The sequence below is a fragment of the Homo sapiens genome, chromosome 2, assembly GCF_000001405.40.
Source record: "Homo sapiens chromosome 2, GRCh38.p14 Primary Assembly".
Lineage (NCBI taxonomy): Eukaryota > Metazoa > Chordata > Mammalia > Primates > Hominidae > Homo > Homo sapiens.
The window spans coordinates 170,234,403-170,256,168 of NC_000002.12; the positions used below are offsets into that span (position 1 = coordinate 170,234,403).

The 21,766-nt window shown below is 42.8% G+C and overlaps 1 protein-coding gene across 8 annotated transcripts in view, besides 1 other annotated feature; it reads left to right on the plus strand.

Moving 5' to 3' along the window:
• The window catches only part of MYO3B (myosin IIIB), a 477,021-nt gene that overhangs the window by 56,256 nt on the left and 398,999 nt on the right, over positions 1 to 21,766 (plus strand). For all 8 annotated transcript variants that reach the window (NR_045682.2, NR_045683.2, NR_045684.2 and 5 more), the window contains exon 7: positions 1,589 to 1,734. Coding sequence is in view for 5 of the 8 variants with exons in the window: in NM_138995.5 (NP_620482.3) it covers positions 1,589 to 1,734 (146 nt within the window). In the remaining 3 variants the exon portion in view is untranslated. The remainder of the gene's footprint in view (positions 1 to 1,588; positions 1,735 to 21,766) is intronic.
• Positions 3,317 to 3,611: a silencer, noted in NCBI's record as "tiled region #12880; K562 Repressive DNase matched - State 8:EnhW". NCBI's record gives its function as "represses a minimal TATA promoter and a strong SV40 promoter by Sharpr-MPRA in K562 cells {active_cell/tissue: K562}" and the evidence as "EXISTENCE:reporter gene assay evidence [ECO:0000049][PMID:27701403]".

A 21,766-nucleotide genomic window follows, 5' to 3' on the forward strand; every position in this document is an offset into this window, starting at 1 on the left:
CCTGCAAGCCCTTTTCATGGTAGCATTAATCCATTCACAAGGGCAGAATTCTCATGACCTAACCACCTCCCAAAAGGATCCACCTTCCATTGGTTGCACTGGGGATTAAATTTCTAACACATGAATTTTGGGAGGCATGTTCAGACCATAGCAGTTATCTTACGATTCTCTAGATCAGAAGTCCAGTATGAGTCTCACCAGGCTAAAATACTCTTCTCCATTTCGAAGTGTCCCAGGCATCTGAGGCTTAATATATCCTAAATGGAGGTCCACTCTTCACCCCAAACCTGCCCCTCCTACTGTCTTCCTCATCTTAGTAAATACCAATTCTATTCTGGTGGTTGCTCATGTCAAAAACTTTGGAGTGTTCCTTAGCTCTCCTTTCTTCTAAGCCCTGTTCAACAAATCCAGTTGGCTGTACATTCAAAATTATACCTAGAATCTGATTATTTCTCGCCATCTCACAATCTCTCATCTGGATCCCTGCAGTAACATATTTAACTGGTTTTGTTTCTTCTCCTCATAATCTATCCTCTGCACAGTAGCCAGAGTGATCTTGCTAAAACATAAGCTAGATCTGTCACTCCTCTGCTCACCACAGTCAGTAGTCTCATTTCATTTGGAATGAAAAAAACTAAAGACATTATGATGGCCTAAGAGGGTGTCTCTATTACTCTGGTCTTCCTGTGCTCACCATTATAGGTGTTGCCCCTCCCTGATGTTTTGGATCATCAGACATTGAAGTCTCCCACCTGGCCATGGCCATGGGTCATCCTGGTGGCAGATTTTAGGTCAAATAGGAGTTCCTGGTCCTCCACATCCTCTGGCTCACTCCTGACTTCTCCTATCGCCATTGTGATAGTCATCAGAGTCTGAGTGTAGGAGATGTTCTTGCCTGACTCAAAAAGTTGATAAAAACATTCCTCCACAGGGTTACAGACTCCTCAACCCAATGACAAGCCCAGGGTCATTTTCTGGTTCTGCTGCTCTTGTACCTAGTCAGGCCAAGTAACTGGAATGGCAGTTGTTTCTGTGATGCATACCATTGTTGGAGTTTGAGGAGGGGAAAGATGCTCTTAGAAAAAGGGAAGGGTGGAGTGGGGTCATTTCTACTTTATGTTAACCATGTGGGTCTTCCAACATCTCTCTGCTTAGTTGGTTATACTCGCGGGAATTTCATGCATCTCAAAGTACACAAGCATCTTTGAGAACAATTGTTGCTTGTTATTGAATTCAGTAGCTGGTAATGAGGTGAAGGATGTAGACAAAGCCTTTCCTTAAAGAATAGCAGGGTTGGGATGGTGTGGTATACATCCGCTTCCTCCCCTTGCACTGTTCTTGTTACTTAGACGGTTCAATGCATGCTTTTTAAAAACAAAACTGACACATTTGTAAAAGCTAATGAACGTATAAGATAATAAATTGGTTATACACAAATAAGGCCTAGAATGCACACATCTTATTACTGGAATTCAATATCATCGTGGCCAAGAAAACTGAGAACGGGGCTAAGATCAGCCCAGGGCCTTTTTAGGACATCTGATGTGGCAGTAGGGTTGATGTGTCATGTCCTGCTTTTGTCCAATAGGTCATTGCCTGTGAGCAGCAGTATGACTCTTCCTATGACGCTCGCTGTGACGTCTGGTCCTTGGGGATCACAGCTATTGAACTGGGGGATGGAGACCCTCCCCTCTTTGACATGCATCCTGTGAAAACACTCTTTAAGATTCCAAGGTAAGACACAAGATGGCGCTCTTGACTCATTAGTTCTTTGTGAAAGCGTCTGGTTAGAGGGATAATAAATAGTTTGCAAGCAATTTCTCTCCAAACCTGACAAAGCCTGATTGTGAAATATATTTTCTTTGAAAAAGCAAGGGGGGCTGGGGGGGACAGAGAAGAGGATGTTCCTGAAAGATAACATACCCCAAGGAATAATAAGACCATGTTGGAACAATTGCCTATTTTTAGCACTCAGCTTTTTCTGAGATACTCATTTTTTGTACTTTGCACGATAAGACTACGAATGGAATTGTGGATTAAGTAATCTGTCTAAATGCTAGTGTTTTCTTTTTAATTACATACTTTCTCTAGTATTCAGTGAAAACATATGTATATCATATTGCTGTATTCACTCAGACTAGCATTGAAATGTATCAGAAAATGTTACATCAGCGCTATATCTTACTCTCCATCCCTTAATTTCCGTCTCAGTGGAAAATTGTGCGGAAAGAGGTCTGTTTGGAGAGCATTTAAATGCAAGTATACTTTCTATTCTGTGTATTCATTAGTGGTTTGTACAAGAGGTTGGGTTGCCTTTCATTGGAATCGGGCTGATGTATGGCCAGCTCACGGCTCTAGTTATGGAATATGAAGCTATCCAGGGACTCCTTCCCAACCAGGGTGCAGATTGAGAGATAATTTGTACCTTCCATATGTCTCTTTCAAAGGAAGGCTCTGGGCAGGCTGGGAGCCATTTAACTGCCTTAACAATACAAATGTTGACCTTTCCTTATCTGCACAATCACACAGCTATCACAGCCTTTAAAAATTTCTCCTGATTGCAATTTGCATTTCTGATTAGGTCTATTTATATGCAGATGAGGCTCTCTGATGTTCATCATCATAATTTTATCATTTTATACCTAATCCAGATGTGAACAACCACCAACCACTATTCCAAAAATGATTCCCACCCAAGCCAGAGTTAGTCTTTTTGCCTTTTTCGAATCACAAAAACAGGTCACAGCGATTAGAGGAGCAGACGAAGCACCTGGCTTTTTAAATTAATAGTCTGGTGAACATTCAAAAGGATATAAGAATGCAGGAGCTAAAAGCTGCATTGTGTATAGTAATAAGTCAGAAAATGGGAAATGGTGTCTGGAATGATTTGTGTGTGTGCTTTGATTTTTTTTTACAAATGGTTTACCCCTCACCATTTATTTAATGTGGCAACATAATTTCCTGAATATCAGGATTAAGGTGTAGCTTCTCTTTAGCAAAATAATATGTACTTTTGATAAGAGATCATCTATATTTTTTTCCTTTCTTGTTATGTATTTGTATACAGACCAGGTGTTCAAAAATTTCTTAAGGTGATAAATGTGAGGCAGCAAAGAGTGTGTGTTTTTGGCGGGGGGGAGGGGGGTGTATATGTTTAAATAGACCCTTCCACTCTATTGACTCCACTTAGCTTGCTTCTGTGCCCAGCCAAGCTTCTTCTAATAATCTCATATTCTCTCACCACTCATCTCTTCCATCTTGGGAGAAGCCTCCAGATCTCCAGATGTGGAATACGAGTAACTAAGTCTCTACTGCCTGCCTCGGGACAGAGTGGATCCCAAGAATTGGGCAATTGTTAGAAAAGGATCCTTATCCCAACTTAGTTTAAGGCTTTGTTTCTCTCCCCCTAGTGTAACCTCCTGCCCTTTTAATGTCTCTTGGTTCCTGTGCAAATGATGAATCAGATTGAACTAGGCAATGTCAGCAATAATCAGTCAGCAGATTCTCAGTGTGATTATGTGTGCTCATGTGTGTTCAACACTTGCCATTGTCACAACCTTAATGGCTGACGTGACATTCTTGGACAAGAATGATAAGAGGTTTTATTTTATTTTATTTTAAATCTTAGCATATTTACGTACATTGTACAGCTTTTTTCTTCCCCAAACCAGGAAAAATATGTTGGGTTTATATTCACCAAGTTATTTACTTTAAAATTACTCTGTCAATTAGAATTGCACAGTTCTCTTTGAAGGGTTATGGATTGACCAAATGTGTGCATCCTGTGTGAGTGCTACTTAATTTCTAGTGCTAAAAATGTATCCTTTCCCCAGAAAAGCTCTTTGATGAAAAGTACAGAAATTAAGCATTTATGTATTTTAAAAAGGCATTCAAATTATTTACCTGTGTGTTTCATTGGAATCGATCTCAGTTCAGTGCCTGTCTGTCTGTCTGTCTCTCTTTCTCTCTCTCTCTCTCTCCGCCCCCTCAGTGGAGAAAAGCAAATGAAAAATAATGACAAAAATCCTTTGAATCCATTTGGCTTCAGAATTAATTTTTTTTCTATTTGAATGTGACTATTTTCAGTGCTTTGGAATTCTTGTCAGTGAAACAATGAAATCCTTTTCAGGGTATGTTGGGATCCAGAATACTGCGTGTGGCTTCTTCCTCTGGCTTTCCTCACTGACCTTTTCCCGGCAACCCTTTCTTTACTGGAAATAAATTGAGTAAATTACCCAGTAAGGGAAGAAAATAAAACCTTGATGGAGTCAGGGAAGAAGTGACTTTCACAAGTTAAAAAAAGATTTATGAGTTAATGAAGTGCTGGTTACCTGTGAGCCTCAGATGTCAATAAAACAGGTAATTAGGAAGGTTCCCTGGGTATTGTCAGGAAATAGGTGGCAACTTGCCTTGATGTGGTTGATTTGCCTGTACATGGGTCTCCTTGCTTTTCCCTTTTCTTCCTTTATCCACCTTCTCCTTTCTCTTGACCTTCACATTAGAAGATCACACACAGGGTCATCGTGACCTGCTTTGAAATACTGCGTGACTCACAATCTTTCCCACTTTGCAAACACACAGAAATTACCTGCTGATTGGCAGAGCATCCACTATTTGCTGAACCTGTCAGCATGTGTCATCTCGTCTAACGCCTTTGCTCCAAAAAAGTCACCCCTCTCTGACTGTCACTGCTCTGTCTGCTGCTATTTTTCCCCAGGAGTTATAAGAGAGCAAATGAGTGAATATCATTTCTCTCAACATCAGTGGATTCAACTGTCTCTCATGACTCTTTACTGAGGACTTCTTTAAAATTCCAAAGGCTTAAAAGGATCTTGAAGATGACCTGGATATATTTTTCCCTTAAAAAGAGATCCGTTTCATAGATATAATTGCAAGAATCAATAGAGTTAGTGGAAATATACAATTATGTTGGTCTCTTGACAAGCAGGTATCTTTCCTTAGCTTTGAGTCTTTGGCTAATGACCCCCTTGACTTCCATAGAGGGGAGTGAGGAAGGCTGTGGGCATCAGTGTGGGTGGGTTCACTGGTCAGTCACTGACAGCTGCATCATCTGCCCATTTATTTGGGGCCAGGTATGAGCTGACTCTGTCCATTGTCTCATCACACATTGAATATTTCCACTTTATTCCTTGTGGAAAAATGCAGAATGTTTTCAGGATTCTCAGCAGAAATGTCTTTGGCTGGAAATGGACAGCACAGGCTGGCCTGAACATTCCAGTCCCTGAAGCTGGTGATTATCCCTTCCTAAAGAGAATTTCCCTGCAGTACACAATTCAAAAAAAGGACAGCTCATGATCATCACCAATTTGCATTTCGGCTTGTTTCCCTCACTAAATCTAGGTTGTTCCAAAGTCACCTGGACCCAGCTGTATTTGTTTCTTAGGGCTGCTACAGCGAATGACCACAAACTCGGTGGATTAAAGCAACAGACATTTATTCTCTCACAGTTCTGGAGGTCAGAAGCCCCACATCAGCGGGTCAGCAGGGCCACACTCCCTTTGAAGACTCTAAGTAAGAATCCGTCTTTGCCTCTGCCAGCTTCTGGTGGCTCCAGCTTTTCCTTGGCTTGTGGCAGTATGATTCCAATCTCTGGCTTCGTTTTCACATGGCCGCCTTTCCCACGTCTTTGGGTCTTCTTTTCTGGTCTCATATAAGGACATAGACTTAGGGCTTATCCTAATTCAGGATAATTTCATCTGGGGATCCTTGCCTTAATTACATCTGCAAAAATTCTTATTCCAAATGAGGTCGCATTCTCAGGTTCTGAGTAGACATATCTTTTGGGGTTCACAATTTAACCCTTTATACCAACCAACTTTTATGTTTACCACATTCCCTGAGAAACTAATTTGCGGGCAAGATACAAGACAATTAGCTCAATGATCATGGAAAAATAATAGCTGCTAAGATCTGTCAAGTGCTAACTGTGGGGCAGGTACAGTGTTCTGTGTTTTAGAAACAGAAATGCATTTAATCCCCACAGCAACTCTGTGAAGTAAGTACTGTTACCACTATTTTTTCCAGATGAGAAAACTCAAGGATGTTAGGCAGGCTTGCTTCCCTCCTTTTCAGGGAGGAAAAATGATTTGAATCTGAGAAGTTTGACTCTAAAGCCCACATGTTTTGCTACTACATTGAAAAGTTAAAGCCCTTCCTTAAATTATATTATGTGTTGATGAATTACATATGTTGAGCACTGAGGGGACTGGGGTATATGGAAATGAATAGAAAGTGGTCCTGCCCTTTAAGAAGCTTACAGTCCAATATCTTTCCTCCTCCCAATTTTAAGCTGACATTATCAACCTGAAAGTTAGAATATTATTAGCATCATGACTGAATCAGCCAAGAAACGGAAGAACAGAAATCAAGAGTGTTGTCTTAGGTGAACATAGGCTGTCTCTGGCTCATTGATTTATGACCCGCAAACCAGAAATCTCTCCCTTCTCCAAACTCCCCTTAAAGGAACTGCTTTTTAGTTCCTAATTTAGAACACTTAAGGCAAGTTTTTAAACTAAAGAATTGTGGAATACATGTTACATAAAAGTAGAAAAATACTTCAGGATATCTTATTCTCACCCAGAAGTTTCTGTCTTATCTCACCTTCCTTGCAAAGTTGTATCTCCCGTGTCAGGGCTATTTCTAGTATAGCCAACACCTTCTCTCCCTTTGCCTTTCTCTTATTTTTTCTCTTCCCTTTTATTTATTTGTTTTTTTTTTTAGTAGGAAAAGCTCATTCTTGGTCTTGAGGAAAATGGAAATCTGTTTCTGGCATGCTAAGTTGGAACACACTTTCTCATGAAAGCAGTATTTTCAATGGTTATTTAGGAGGAAGCAATAGAATAGCTGAAGTTCTCTACTTTGGATGCATTATTAGATTTTTGTGGCTAAATAGAGCTGTATGACCTAGTCTAAGGACTTAGGCTTCCTCTAGAGCTTTATACTTATGGAAAAAGAAAATGCTTTCCAAGTTCGAAACTACCAGTTTACAAAAGAGCTTTGGAGCACAATCCACTGGGAACTTGGGAATGCCCTTGTCCTCTACCCTAGGACGCCTTAAACTTTGTTCGTCCAGACTCAGGCTTGGGTTGGGTGCTTGAGTTGCAGAGATGACAGAGTTTTTGCTGTCAAGGAGCACATCAGTTTACTGCCTCCTCCTCATTTATCGGTAAAGGTGAAACGGAGAGAGTTTGGATAACAAAAAGGAGAAATCAGATTTTTGGGAACCCAGGGTCTGGATCCTTGTGGACTGCCTGGATGCTGTGGGTAGTGGGGCAGATGGGCAAGTCACTGCTTGAAATATTTGTGTGTCTATTTGAAGAGCTTCCTCAGGGACTCAGTGCCTACAATCGACTCTCATCCTGAAATAGGATCCTTGGGCTAAATTTTTATCTTACATAGGCATTTTTTTTTTTAAGATTCCTTTTGATGCTGACTTTCCTAATTCACAAACCAAATTGTTCCTATATGGGAAGCAGTAGTCTCTGCCTGCTCCTCCGCTGTGAGATGCAGAGGCAGCAGGGAGCCCTGAGTCACCAGTAATTGTCTCACTATTACAGAATTGTCACAGGACATTTTCCTTTAGGGCTGTGAAATATAAAGGAAAGAAATTAAAACTAAACTATTGTTGAAGTGTAATGAGTGAGGGGTGCTGAGTGTTTAATGGCACAGTGAGGCTGGATTTGCCCTGGGGAGTATTGGTTTCTCTTCACCAACCCAGGTCACTTAGCTATTGGCCTTTTGAGCAATGAATCCCCACGATCCAAGCTTCACTCATAAAGCAAGAAGTGCTAGAAGAATTAGCATCATTTAGCATTTATTGAGTGCCTAATAGCAAAAAAAAAGTTTTAAAATATTCCAATAGAAAAACAGTTATGTTTTATGTATCTTTTTCTTTCTTTGAGAGATTTCTAATCCCATTTTTAATGGATTGCCTTCAGTATGTACCCTGTTCCAGATCCCCAGAATATCTTCTGGGCCCAGGACTTGACACTCCCTTTCCGTGGGAACCCAGTAGCTGGAGGCATCTGGCAGAAATGCCCCAGAAGGCTTTCACTCTGTGGAACACATTGCCAAATTATTTTTAAATTCGAGTTGAGCAGCTGGGGCCATTCAGTCCTATGTAGGTACTGCTTGCTGCCCCCTGCCTGAGTCCTGGCAGGCAGGGAGAATTTAGCTTTGCAAGGTTTCATTTGGGGATCAGGTGACAAAGCAGGAGCATGCCTTCAGGGACTTTGGGTCCCCACCACTACTGAGTAAGAAGCTCACCCTGAGAGACAGGCCAAAGGTGCGAGGGGTTGATTCCCAGCGCTATCTGTGCCTTCTTCTCATTACCCTGGTATATTATTTTGGCACAACTGACTGTGGCTAATTCCAACCCACCTCCTAAATGATGGAGAGATGGGCAAAGAAGTAGGCAAGGAAACAGAGCTCAAAATTGTGCTAGAGTTGAGGCACCCTGGTTTCCTCTCTACTCCAGAAAAAACTAAGGAATAAAGGTGAGGAATAATTATAACTGCCTTTATGGGTTGGCATAATGGTAGGGGCAGGGGTAAGACAGGGATGAGGAGCAATGAGGTGATAGTCTAAAGGAAGGTTCTTCACAGCTGGAGCTATCCATTCCTGGAGGATCCTAGAGTCAAGTGAAGCCAGTATCATTTGAAGGAAAATATAGTATAGTGGTCCAGCATGGTTGTTTGTATCAGTTAACTACTAGTATGTAACAAACCATCCCCAAACTTAGTTGCTTAAACAACAAACATTTATGATTTTTCATGAGTCTATGGGTTTCTCTGGGTGGTTCTGCAGATCTTGGCTGGGCTTGCTCATGCATCTGTGATCAGCTGAGAATGTGGCTGTGTTGGTTGGTCTAGGATAGCCTTGGCTAGGATGACTTGGCTCTGGTCCATGTTGTTTCTTATCTTCCAGCAGGCTAGCCTGAGGTAGTTCTCATATTGGTGACAGGGTTCTAAGCACAGATAGAGGAAGGAACAGAAAATTGGACCAGTTTTGCTCTCAAGTTATTACAGTGTTCTACAGTCAATCTACACGGGTTCAACTAGCAGCTCCATCACTTTCAAGTTCACCAGTGTGAACTTGACCAAGTTACTGCATGTCTGTGTGTGTCAGTGTCCTCCCTTATAAAATGAGGATTTGAGTAATGTCGACCTCATAGAGCTATTGTGGGAGTTAAAGAATGTAAATTGGTCAGAATATTTCATAGTAAGCATTCAATTCATGCTGGATGCTACCAAGGAAAATATCTCAAGGGCATATTTATACTGTAAGGAATTTTCTTTCCCTTGTAGCTGAAGAATTGAAAGCTTCTATTCAAAAAGAGCCACCCATGAGATCAGTCATTTGAAAGTTCAGCTAATTGATTGATTGATGATTGTATGAGGAATTAAGAGAGAATGAAGGCTGATTTCTGAAGTCCCTACTACTTACATTGCATCTATGTGAAGGACTCTGCCATTAGTATCCATTGTCACAACTCCTTTGTAAATAGACACACTCTTAAGAGATACGGTCACATACACCTCACCCTCACACACATACATGAATGCTGTGACAGGAACTGCACATGAGGAAGCAGGGCTGGCCTTAGTCTCCACTGCCATGATGTCTACAACGAGTGGTGATGCTGTCATCCTCTGAAGAGAACTAGGGCCATGGTACTTTTCCTTTGCTATCAGTTCTATCAGTTTTTGTGGTGGTTTTGTGCTCGGTTGATGAGTCGTATGACTGGTCTTGGCTGCCTCCTTCTATAGGGTCCTTTTAGCCCCCTTAGTAGGTTCAACCTTCTCCAGGGTTCTAGAAATTTTTTTGTCTGCAGATAAAGGGACAATAGCAAGAGTTCTAAACTTAGGGTCATTGATTCAAAATTGAGTCCCATTTTGCTATTTCCTCTACCACAGATAATATTTTTTTTCCCAGCCCCACCTGGAAAGGCTCAAAACATTGGCAAAAGGAGACAGAAAACTGAAGCCAGGTCAGGGGATTGTAAGGAGAGCACCTGGTTGTTGCAGATAAGTTCAGGTTTCTTTGGGGAGGAGTGATATTCCAGGTGCTGAGGGAATATACAAGTGAGACTGCTGCCCCACTATCAGTGCTCTTAGAATTCTGGAGAACAGAAACAGTATTAGAGGAGTAGAAAAGGGAGAATGTGCTTCAATTCTTCAAATAAGGGAAGAGGGCAGAGCCTGCAGACTACTATCTGGTGAGCTTGACTTTCGCCTTGGGATAATTACTAAAATTTTTTTCATTTTCTCCTTGAATAGTGTGTGAATTCTTAGAAAGCTGTGATCACTAGGAATTAGCACGGGTTCATTGTAAACAAGCCATGTCAGACAATTTCCTTATTTGGTGTTAATTTGAGACTGGTATGAATGGGGACTATTTTAGACATAATATATTTGTATCTTTGGCCTTAAGTAAAATTTGTTGTGACATCTTAGTGGCTAAGATGGAAAAACATAGACTGGAGAATGGTGGTAGCGATGGAATCACAGCCCGGGAAAGATTGTGTTGAGGAACACTGGATAATTGTGTCAATATGAACACACTGGCTGGGGTAAAATTGTGTCAGTATGAATACACTGGCTGGGGGATAATCGTGTTGGTATGAACACACTGACTGCGGGAAGTTCTGGGGGCCTGAGGCAGGACTCTGCTGACCGTCCTGCCAACTGAACATTTAAAAATATTTAATGAATTGGAGGACATTGGCAGCCTTTCTGTCACATTCAAGGAAGGGGTGGTTGGTGTGCTGGATGACAGGCTTGGAATCCCACAATGTCTTAGTCGTTAAAGGCAATGGGGGTCTCTAACTAGCAAATAGAACCCTTGGAAACCCTGGTGAACTGTATAGGCTGAAAGAGCCGTGAGTTTAATAGCCCACGGTGAAAAATGAATTATTTGTAGCTGTAAGCCCAATGGGGGGATCAAACAGTAAGACCATCTTGCATGAAACATGAGGTTTGATAGAGCACCCACTACCAGCATCCCCCAAAGTGGCTCTGTCCTAGCCAGATGGAATGATGTCTTCCTTCTGAGTGCCAGACCAAAACTGCCATAAGGGAGTCTTACCCTGGCAGAACTCTAAACCTGAAGCTGACATTTCAAACCGGGATTCAGATGCCTGGGTTCCGGTTCTGCTCCTGCTCTGTTACTATTCCATCATTTCACCTTTCAGAGGGGAATAAATGGCTACCATTCTTGAGCAACCATGTTCTGCACTCAGATAACAGGGCTTATGTAAAGTTTTCTTAAGTATCCTCTCTATATTCTGTGGCTTCTCAATAGACAGGAATGAGAATAGCTACTAACTGCAGGGCTGGGGCCACTCACTGCAGCAGCAAGTCTCACCCAGGACAGGGTCCTCAGTCCTTGATATAGATAAGAATATCCTGGGAGCTTTAAAAAGATACCAGTGCCTCATGTATAGGTATGTAACAAACCTAACAAACCTGCACGTTGTGCACATGTACCCTAGAACTTAAAGTATAATAAAATAAATAAATAAATAATAAAAATATACCAGTGCCTGGGTACCATTCCCCAGGAATTTCAATTTAATTGGTTTGGGTCAAGTTCAGCATTTATATACAAATACAATTAATTTTACAAATATAATTTTGGGATAACATGCATATTATTTTATATTTACAAGTTCCCTAGATGATTCTGAAGGGGTTGAGTAAAACCCTTCCCTGAAACAACTATCAGACCCTTGTTTGTTTTTTTGTTGATATTTTAAAACTACAGAGTCTCCCTCTGGAAATTCTTGCTCCTACCTTCCCAATTCCCACCCCATGGTTGATAATTGAGAAATGAGAGATGATATCAATGGAAGTGTGTTGCACATTATGAAGAATGTAAAAGTAGAAAAAAGGATTCTAGCAGAATAGCCAGTGGTGAAGTTATGGGTTGAACTGTGGTGTGCCCCCTACAAACAGGTATGTTGAAGTTTTAACCTCCAGTACTTTATTTGCAAATAGCGTCATGTGGACATAATTAGCTCACTTAAGATGAGGTTATACTGGAGCAGAGTTGATCCTTAACCCAATGTGACTGGTATCCTTATAAGAAGAGGAAAATTTGGACATGGACACACACACACACACACACACACACACACACACACACGAACATCATATAAAGACAGACACACAGGAAGAAGGCCACACTAGAAGAGGCAAGGAAGGATCCTCCCCCAGAGGCTTCAGAGGGAGCATGGCCCTACCAACACCTTGATTTTGGATTTCTAGCTTCCAGAACTGTGAAAGCATAAATTTCTATTGTTTAAAGCCACCTGGTTTGTGGTGCTTTCTTATGGCAGCCCTAGGAAACTAGTACAGTGACTATCTAGTTTGGAGTCCATTGCTCCTAGTAGCATCCTGGAGGTCTGCCTAGGGCATGGTTAGGGATGGGACAATGCGGGGAGGGAGGGAGGTATTCTTCCTAGGAGAGTCCTAGGGGTGGGTATAGGAGTTAGATTGGCCAGCCTTCCATTCTTCAACCCCCACTAAGTGGCATTTCTGTAGAAGTCAAGACAATCTTACATAACATACTTGGCAGTTCTCAGTCTGCTTCTAGATAGGAAGTGGGTACATGAGAGATTCTTCCTCTCCCTTGCACCAGACAGCTGAGCCAAGAACTTCCTTTTCTATCCAGACTCTTCTGCAGTGCTCAGGGTGGAGAAGGGAGCTCTACGTTTCTTCTCTGAGTTCTTCCCAGACTCAGTACTTCCAGAATGAAGTACAGAATAAAGATATGGCTTTTAATGTTCAATCTTTCCATCTCAGAACACAGTAGTACTTGGGGACATTGAGAGGTAGCTGTTGTGGCCTATCTGGCACAGGTCCTCTGAAGTTAGGATTTCCAAGAAGATTCAGGTGTCCATCTGGGCAAGGGTCAAGCACCTGTGGAATATGATCCGAAGAGCAGCACCATCTGCTTCTTATGTCTCAAAGGGGCTTAAAACCTGCACAGAGGGCAGGCAGCATCCTGACATCATGCTTCATCCTGGTCATGGGGAATGGGCATTGACTTCTACCAGGCCTCATCAAGGTTTCGTTCTTTATCTCCACGCCAAGCAACTGGCCTATTTAGGGTGTCTTAGTTCATTCAAGCTGCTATAACAAAATACCTGACTTAGACTGGGTAGCTTACAGACAATAGAAACTTGTTTCTCACAGTCCTGGAAGCTGGGAAGTCCAAGATCAAGATGTCATCAGATTTGGTGTCTGATGAGGGCTCACTTTCTGGTTCATAGATGGTAGCTTCTTGCTGTGTCTTCACATGGGGGAAAGCATGAGGGGGTCTCTCTTAGGCCTCTTTTATGAAGGTACTAATCCCATTCATGAGAAGTCTGTCCTCATGACCCAATTTTCTCCAGAGACCCCATTTCCTACAACAATCACACTGGTGATTAGATTTCAACCTATGAATTTTGAGGGGACATAAACATTCAGACCATAGCACAAAGAATGGTGAGGAGCACTGTGTGGGGAGTCCCCTCCTGAACCCTCCTTTCTTCTTGCTTCCTCTACATCTGAACCTTCAGCTTTTGCTTCCTTTGGCCTCACATTCTTGGTGGCAAATTTGGCTTGCTCTCTGGATTCATGGTTCCCAGCTCCCCCTCTTTCTGTGCCACCTGTTGTTTGGACTGGAAGCTCTTGTGTTCATGCTGCATTACTCATCAGTCTTGATTGGCAAGACCCCTCCTGGCTGCCCTTACTCCTACAGTCCACACTTATCTCTGATGAAAATATCTCTTTCTTTCCTCCTTCCTTCCGGAAGGGTGAAGGGATAGGAAGTCTCCCACTTGAAGGGCTGAGGAGGGGTTTAAAGTTAGTCAAACCTAGGCCTCCAAGTCACAGGGATCCTATCTGCCTGATAATACTGCTTTATATTTATGTGGTTCTGATGTCTTCAGGCTCAGTCCCATACTAGCAAGATCTGAGCTGCATACCTCTTGTGTTAGTTTTAAGAAACTGCAGTAAAAAATTACCATACATTTAGTAGTATAAAACAGCACAGATTTATTATCCTTTAGTTCCGAAAGTCAGAAGTCTGAAATGGGTCTCCCTGGGCTAAAATCAAGGTGTCACAGGGCTGTGTTCCTTTCTGGAGGCTCTAGGGGAGAATCTGTTTTCTTGCCTTTTCCAGCTTCTAGAAGTTGCCTGGATTTCTTGACTTGTGGCTCCCTTCTATCTTAAAAGCCACCAGTGGCTGCTTTAGTCTTTCTCACACTGCACCACTCTGACACTGTATCTTGTACCTCCCTCTCCCCCAATTTAAAGACCCTTTTGATTATACTGGACCCACCAAGGTAATCCAGGATAATCTTCCTATTTTGTCAGCTGATTGGTAACCATACCTGCATATAAACTTAATCCTCTCTTGCCATATAACCTAACATATTCACAGGTTCTGGGTATTAGGACACGGACATCTTTATTCTGCTTACAATGCCTCCCAAAGTATTGCCCAAGAATTTTTAGAAACCTTCAAGAGCGTGCTCCTTATGTACTCATAGCCATTTTGAGCTATCATTATTGTGTGGCCTCTGACTTGTTGTTTCTCTTCCATCTAGTTCTTCTTTGGCCACGTTTACTGCCTGCTTATCTACCATCAGAACATCCAGGCCTTTGCAGGCTATTCATTCTGGTAACTCCCAAAGCCTCCAGTCCTGGGTGCCAAAGCACTGGTTTCCACTCAGAGGAAGGGAGGTAGCCCCTATCCTGAGCTCTGAGCCATTCTCTGCCACTTAGGTCCCTGAGCAACTCTGCTTGTGGCCAGAGCCTCACCATTTTGGCTCTCCTCTCTCAACAGAGTAACATCAACTCCCTCTATATAAACGGGCCTTTCTATTTTTATCCTTATTCTTTTAATTAGTCCAAGGAGCTAGAGAGAAAACAAACCCACACCACCCTGCCCACCTTCCTCCACATTTCCTCTGCCCCAAACCTAACTCTTTTGGCCTCAGCAGTTTAGTAACAGATGTTCTTATTCATATCAACATTTGCTTGAGGGAGAAGAGAAATAAGGGAGAGTTACTGACTATTCCTGTGGTCTCCAATGCAGGAGCATCTGAACCAATCCCTTGGAGTGCAGACAGAAAATATTAGAACTTCTGTTCCTAAGTATTTCAAATCAAAAAACAAGAAAAACAAGAAACAAATTATGCTTTCCTATTACTAAGTATAAAGATGATCACTGCTGCCTTTGTTCAGTCCAAATGTTGGACAGTCCTGTCTGGTTGGGTTTACAGATGAATCATGAGGCAGCTCCACAGCAAAAAGGCTGAGGAAGCTCCACTTGTGGGTTCAGTTCTAGAATTCTGGAAAGCATTTTCATTTAAAGGTGCCTCATTAGTGGTTATATGGCAAACGTCCTTGAGTTTCAATAAAGAGACCTTCACAAAATGGACAAGTGGCTTTAAAAGATTTCTGTAAAGAAACCTCAGACTGAATCTAATTCTACTAATACAAGCAAAAGTGAGCAACAGAAAAAAATGGCTGAAATGCTGGCACTTCTCCTCCTATGACAAGCTCTTCATCAGCCACTTGAGGTTTAGAACAATGACAGGCTAATCAGATCTGCCAAGAAATCATTAAAAAATTCAAAATTACCATGAAGACTATTGGAAGTATGGATTTATATCCACTATTATTGACGATGAGCCCTCTTCATAAGTGTGTTTTATGCATGAAGTTATTAGCATGACACCATCAAGATTATTCAGCATTCAGATCAGAAAGATAAACCACTACAATTCAACTACAAAATATTTTGGGGGTACTGTTAAAACATGTTATTTATTTCATCTTATTCATTTTAAAATTTAGTAGCACTTGTTCACAATTGATAAGAAAGGAAGTAGTTACTGGACCATAGGCTCAACATTTGTTACTGATGAAGTGTGCAGTCAAAAAAGTTTGGAGGCCACTGTCTTAAACCAGTAGCTTTGGGCCCCAGTTCAGCCACTGTGAAATGGGAGCATTCCCTGACCCCCATCACAGGACGTGACAGGGGTGTGGCTTTTCTGTCCGGTTGCTGCTGCTGCTCAAACCCATTACAGGAAGGGGGGCATGCAGATGGACAGGTGCAGGAGCCCAAGTGGGCGTGTGTTACAGTGCGTTCCTTTAGGTTTGCCATCCATGGATGGCTTAAGTGTTAACCAGCTCAGTAGATCCTCTGCCTTTTTGCAAGGGTAGAGGGCCAGTGTGACAGCCTTCTGTATCCAGAGTTCTTGTCCAGTGTCCCGGAAGAACTGGGTCACACACAGACTTGAAAAATGTTGAATGTGGGGTTTTATTGGGTGGTGGAGGTGGCTCTCAGCAGGATGGATGAGGAGCTGGACAGGGGATGGAGTGGGAAGATGATATTCCCCTGGAGTTTGGCTGTCTAGCGGCCGACTCTCCCACTGTCCCGAGCCAAATTTCTGATGTTCAGACTCTCCTTATCTTCTCATGCCGTTCTGCCATTCGTCTGCTTGTCTGTGCTTCTCCTTCTGGAGCCTGGGGTTTGAGGTTTATATGGGTACAGTTGAGGGGGTGTGATGGGCCAAAAAGCAACTTTTTGGGGTACAAAAACAGGAATGCCTGTTTTCACTTAGGGCCACGGGTATTCGGGCTTGAGGGTGGGGCCTTTGCCAGGGAACCGCCCTCTTCTACCCAGTATTTCCCTGTCTCCTGTCCGTGTCAACTGTACATAGCTTTTTTACAATTGTTTGTCCCTTCACGATTTACATTTACTGTCTTATACAGTTTCTTTGATTCTTTACTGCAACTCTGATAGGTAGGGTTCTTTTTTTTCTTTATGTTAGAGTTCAGAGGATTCAGGACTCAGTGTTGTGATTGGCTCAAGGACACACAGTTAATAAAAACAAATAAGTGGCAGAGGGCAAGCTTGAAGAGATCTGCATTCAATCAAGATTGATTGCAAAATGCACCATTTTTAGGAAAATGGTTTTTATAGGTTGAATCGTGTTTCTCAGAAAAGATACATTGAAGTCCTAATCCCCAGTGTCTCAGAATTTGACCTTATTTGGAAATAGGGTCTTTACAGAAGTAATCAAGCTGAATGAAGTCATCAGGGTGGACCCTAATTCAATATGACTGGTGTCTTTATGGAAAGGAGTTAATTTAGACACAGAGACAGACACATAGAGGTCCAGGAACGCCTGGGCTACCAGAAGCTGAAAGAGGCAAGGAAGGATCCTTCCCTTACAGGTTTTAGAAGGTGAGTGGTCTTGCTGAAGCCTTGACTTTGGACTGCTAGTTTCTGGAATTGTAAGACAATAAATTTCTGTTTTTCTAAGCCAGCTGGTTTGTGGTACTTTGTTACAGCAGTTCTAGGAAACTATGGTCCATTGCTCTGGAAAGGGTCTAGGATCCAAAAGCAGCTAAAACCAGTGATATAATCCAGTACAACCATAAGCAGAGGAGGAAGCCCAGAGACTGGGAGTGAGTTTTCCTAGGTGATATGGCTAGTTAGAGAGATGGTTAGTTAGATCCATGGCTGGATCTCATACATTCTTACTCCTAAGTTCAACTTTGAGACCAGGAGAAGTAAATATGGGGAAGTTGGCTTACCTCTCTCATCATTAGGCTTGGTGATCTGCCTTGATCTGGCATAGTTCACCGTTCTTCCAATGACTTCAAAGGAACAAATGGGAAATATGTTGCATCTTTGCCTTGATGATAATGCACTTACCTGAAGATCACAGTCCTCCTGCTGGCTCCACCCTTCACCCCCTTCCTTTCCACAGTTCACATGTTATCACTTCAGTGTCTATTAAAAAGGAAAAAACCCAACTGTTACTAAATATGTATATCTACAAGGAAATAGTTCATTGGATTGGTAATAATATGCTCTCCAACTGGAAAGGGATTTTAAAAAGTCAATGCACCTGGCACAAAATTGTAAGTAAGGAAAGAATGACCTTAGGTGAAAAATGTTTGCCAAAGAGTTTGGCAAAATACAAGACATTTAATTAAAATTATTTTAATTCTCTAAGAGCATGTGTATGAGTAGTGGCCTACTTACACATGGACTATAAGTTGATGCTTGGAACTAGTTTATTCAATCACTTATTAAATATGTTTTGAGTATTTACTATGGTCAGGAACTGTATCAGGCATGGCAATAAACAAAACAGTCCCTGTCCTCTTGGAGCTTACATTCTAGAGGGGGAAAGAAATAATAAACAAGTAAAAATAAATAATATGCTAGGTGACAATATGTCCCTGTATGAAGAAAAATAAAATGAGATAAAGAGAATACAGAGTGACAGTTGGGGTGGGGTTTGTTATATAATGTGCTGAGAGAAGGCTTCTCTGATAAGATGAAGAAAAATGTCTCAAGGGAATAAGGGAGCAAGCCACATTTGGAGGAAACATAAGTGCAAAGGTCCTGAGGTGGGAATGAGGTGGGAACATGGTGGGGACATTTTAGGAATAGCAAGGAGACCAAGGCAGCTGGAGCACATGAGAACAGTGGAGAGTGGTAGATGATGATGCCCTGGAGAGAGCTGGGGACAGATCATGTAGTGCCTTATGAGTTATTGTAGTGATTTTGAATATTTCTGTGAATGAGATAGGAAGCCATTAGGGTTTGGAGTGGAAAAGTAACATGAATTAGCTTCTGTTTTAAAGGGATCTTCTGCATACTATGTGGAAAATGGAATATTAGGGAAGGAGGTGGTAAGAGTAGAAGCAGAGACTCAAGGTAAGAGGCTCTTGTCATAATTTAAGTAAGGGATAATGGCAGCTTGGACCAAGGTGAAGGTAGTGAGACATAGTTGGATTATGGATATAATTTGGAGGTGGTGCTGACAGGATTGCTTATGGATTTGATGTAGGGTATGAGAGGGAGAGAGGACTTACTGAAAATCTCAAGATTTTTGGCTCGAGCAACTGCAAAACAGGAGCTTCCATTTTCCAAGTTGGAGACGGTTGTGCAAGGAGCTAACTTGGTGGGAGTATGCAGCCGAATCAAGAGTTCCTTTTCAGACATTAAGTTTGAGATGCAAATTTATCATCTGAGTGGTGACATTGAGTATGCAGTTGATACAAGTCTGGAGTTCAGTGGAGACACCTAGACTGGAGACATAAATGCAGAAGTCATCAGAGTCTAGAAATTTAATGTCATGGGATGAGTAGAATTTACCTGGGCAGTGGGTGTGTGTAAAGAAGACGAGAGCTCCTGAGGGCTACTCCCACATTTATAGATAAGAAAGATGAAGAAAAACCAGGAAAGGAGTTTGAGAAGGAGTAGCCATTGAGATAAGAGAAGAATAAGGGTAGTATTCCAGAGGCCAAGGAAGAAAGGGCTAAGAGAGTAAATGATCAACTGTATCAAATGCTCCTGAGTCAAGCAAGGTGAAGACTGAGATTTCACCACTGGATATGACAACTCAGAGAAAACTGGTGATGCTGTGAAGAGCTGTTCTGGGGACGGGGGGCGGGGGCGGGCAGTGATAAGACGGCTGATTAGATGTAGCCAGGAAGTGCCTCTCCCACTGAGAGAAAACAAAATATGCAGTAAATCATCACACTTTGAACAGATCTTTTGAGAAAAAACACTGAAAGTTGATAAGAGAGGTGATGCAGACACCAAGATTGAAGAGGGAGGAAGCTGGGAAGCCCACATGGAGTCACTGAGCACCACGACCAGCTCCTGGTACTGAAAAGGTTCTCAGGAAGGGGTGAATGAAGGAACTCTGTGGCACTACACTCCCGCCACAAACTTCTGGGATCCCAGCTAGAAAAGATCCCATGATCCCTATAGACATTTAGATGGGCAGGAGGAGCTGCCTGTAGAGTAGACAGAGGTAAAGCTAGAACCTGCATGGCGCCCAGAAGGTTACACTCATGTGGGGCAGCTGCAGCAAAACACCGTAGACGCCCACCCGCAAAGGCTCTCCATCTTACTCTGAATGACCACAGCCCTCACTGACTGCCAACCTGAGAGAGAGCAGAGCTGCCTTTCCTGCGGGACTCGGGGGGGCGCATCTGATCTGCATGCTCCCAGTGTCTGCTGGCCCCTCCCAAGGCCTCCTGCCTGGCTGCTCCCACAAGAGGGTGTGCAAAACAGAGCCACCACTGTCCTACCTGCGTGTTTTGCTAGTGGACTGGGAGCAGTTCAGCACCACCCCCAGCACAGCTGGTGCTTGACCCAGAGGGGTCAGAGGACAAAGCCACAGGCCTTGTCCCAACTTCCCAGGGTGTGAGCACACCACCCAGGGATATTGAGCTGAGATCTGTGGCCAGAGCTTGAGTGAGAGAGGAGGCCTCACTCTCAGAACACAGAGAGGAGTGAGGCACAGGTTCATGTGCCAGCATGGGAACTGGGTATCCCACCCTGTGCAAGACCAGTCTGGGAAGGGTGTAGCCTGTTGGCTAGCCACAGCTTCTACCTGAGGGAGCCCCATATCCCTGAACACCTGGAATCGTGCAGCAATCTGGGTGCAGAAGGTTTAGGACAAAACTAGTTGAGTGGGCCTGCTCCTGGGGCAGACACTGGAGGGAGATCTGGTTTGGGAAGAGAGAGCTGGGCAGACCCCATAGTCCTCTGCTGGGATAAAAGCCCCAGGCCACAGGTGCCACACCAGCTGCACACCCATGGCACTACTGCTCTGCCTGGGGATCCTACGCCCTTGACTCATTGCATCACCAGAACGCCTGCACACATACTCCATCACCTGCTCTGACTCTGTCAACCTCAGAGAATGAGTGGGTCTCCTTGTGACCTAACCTTTGGCTTGAGCCGCTGCTAAGACAGGTGGGAGTAGAGCCCGCCAGGGTCCCTACTGGGGTGAGGAAACACAGGTGCAATGTCAGTCATTGTAGGAGGCTCCCTCAAAACCCAGGAGTGGACTTAGTAAGGGAGTCATCTCTTGTGCTCCTCCCCCCTTCCCTCACCATCCCTCCCTGCCCGGAGCACTGCTGTGCACACACTGAAGTACAAAAAAGGTACATAACTAAGAGCCTATCTGCTGGCCCTTACTCTTAAGCACTGTCTACTGGATTGCAGCCTGAATTATACAAAAATAAGTTCCTTCAGCACCCAACACCTGTGAAACTCAATACAGGAAATTAGCTACAACCAAGGAACCCATACAGAGCACTGGCCCTCTGAAAGCACCAGAAACGAAGCCAATTGACTGTATACAGCATACACCACAGTCAAACCCTGAAGGGAAAAAAAAACCCAGAACCCCATTCAAGCAACAGCAAAGTCAAAAAGAAAAACACCAGGCCCCCTGAGATGAGAAGCAATCAGCCAAAGAGCTCCGGCAATTCAAGAAATCAGAGTGTTTCCTTACCTATAAAGTATTGTACTAGCTCCGCAGCAATAGATCCTCACCAAATTGAAATGTCTGAAATGACAGACATAGAATTAGGAATCTGGATGGCAAGGAGGCTCAAGATTCGAGAGAAAGTTGAAATTCAATCCAAGAAAGCCAGTTGTTGATACAAGAGTTGGAAGATGACATAGCCAGTTTAAGAAATAATCAAACTGAACTTCTGGAATTGAAAAATTCACTACAGGAATTTCAAAATACAGTGGAAGCCTGAACAACAGATTAGACCAAGCTGAGAATTTCAGAGCTTGAAGACTAGCCGTTTGAATCAACCCAGTTAGACAAAAATAAAGAAAAATGACTTAAAAAAATGAACAAAGCCTTTGAGAAATAGATTCTCTAAAGAGACCAAACCTATGACTCATTGGCATT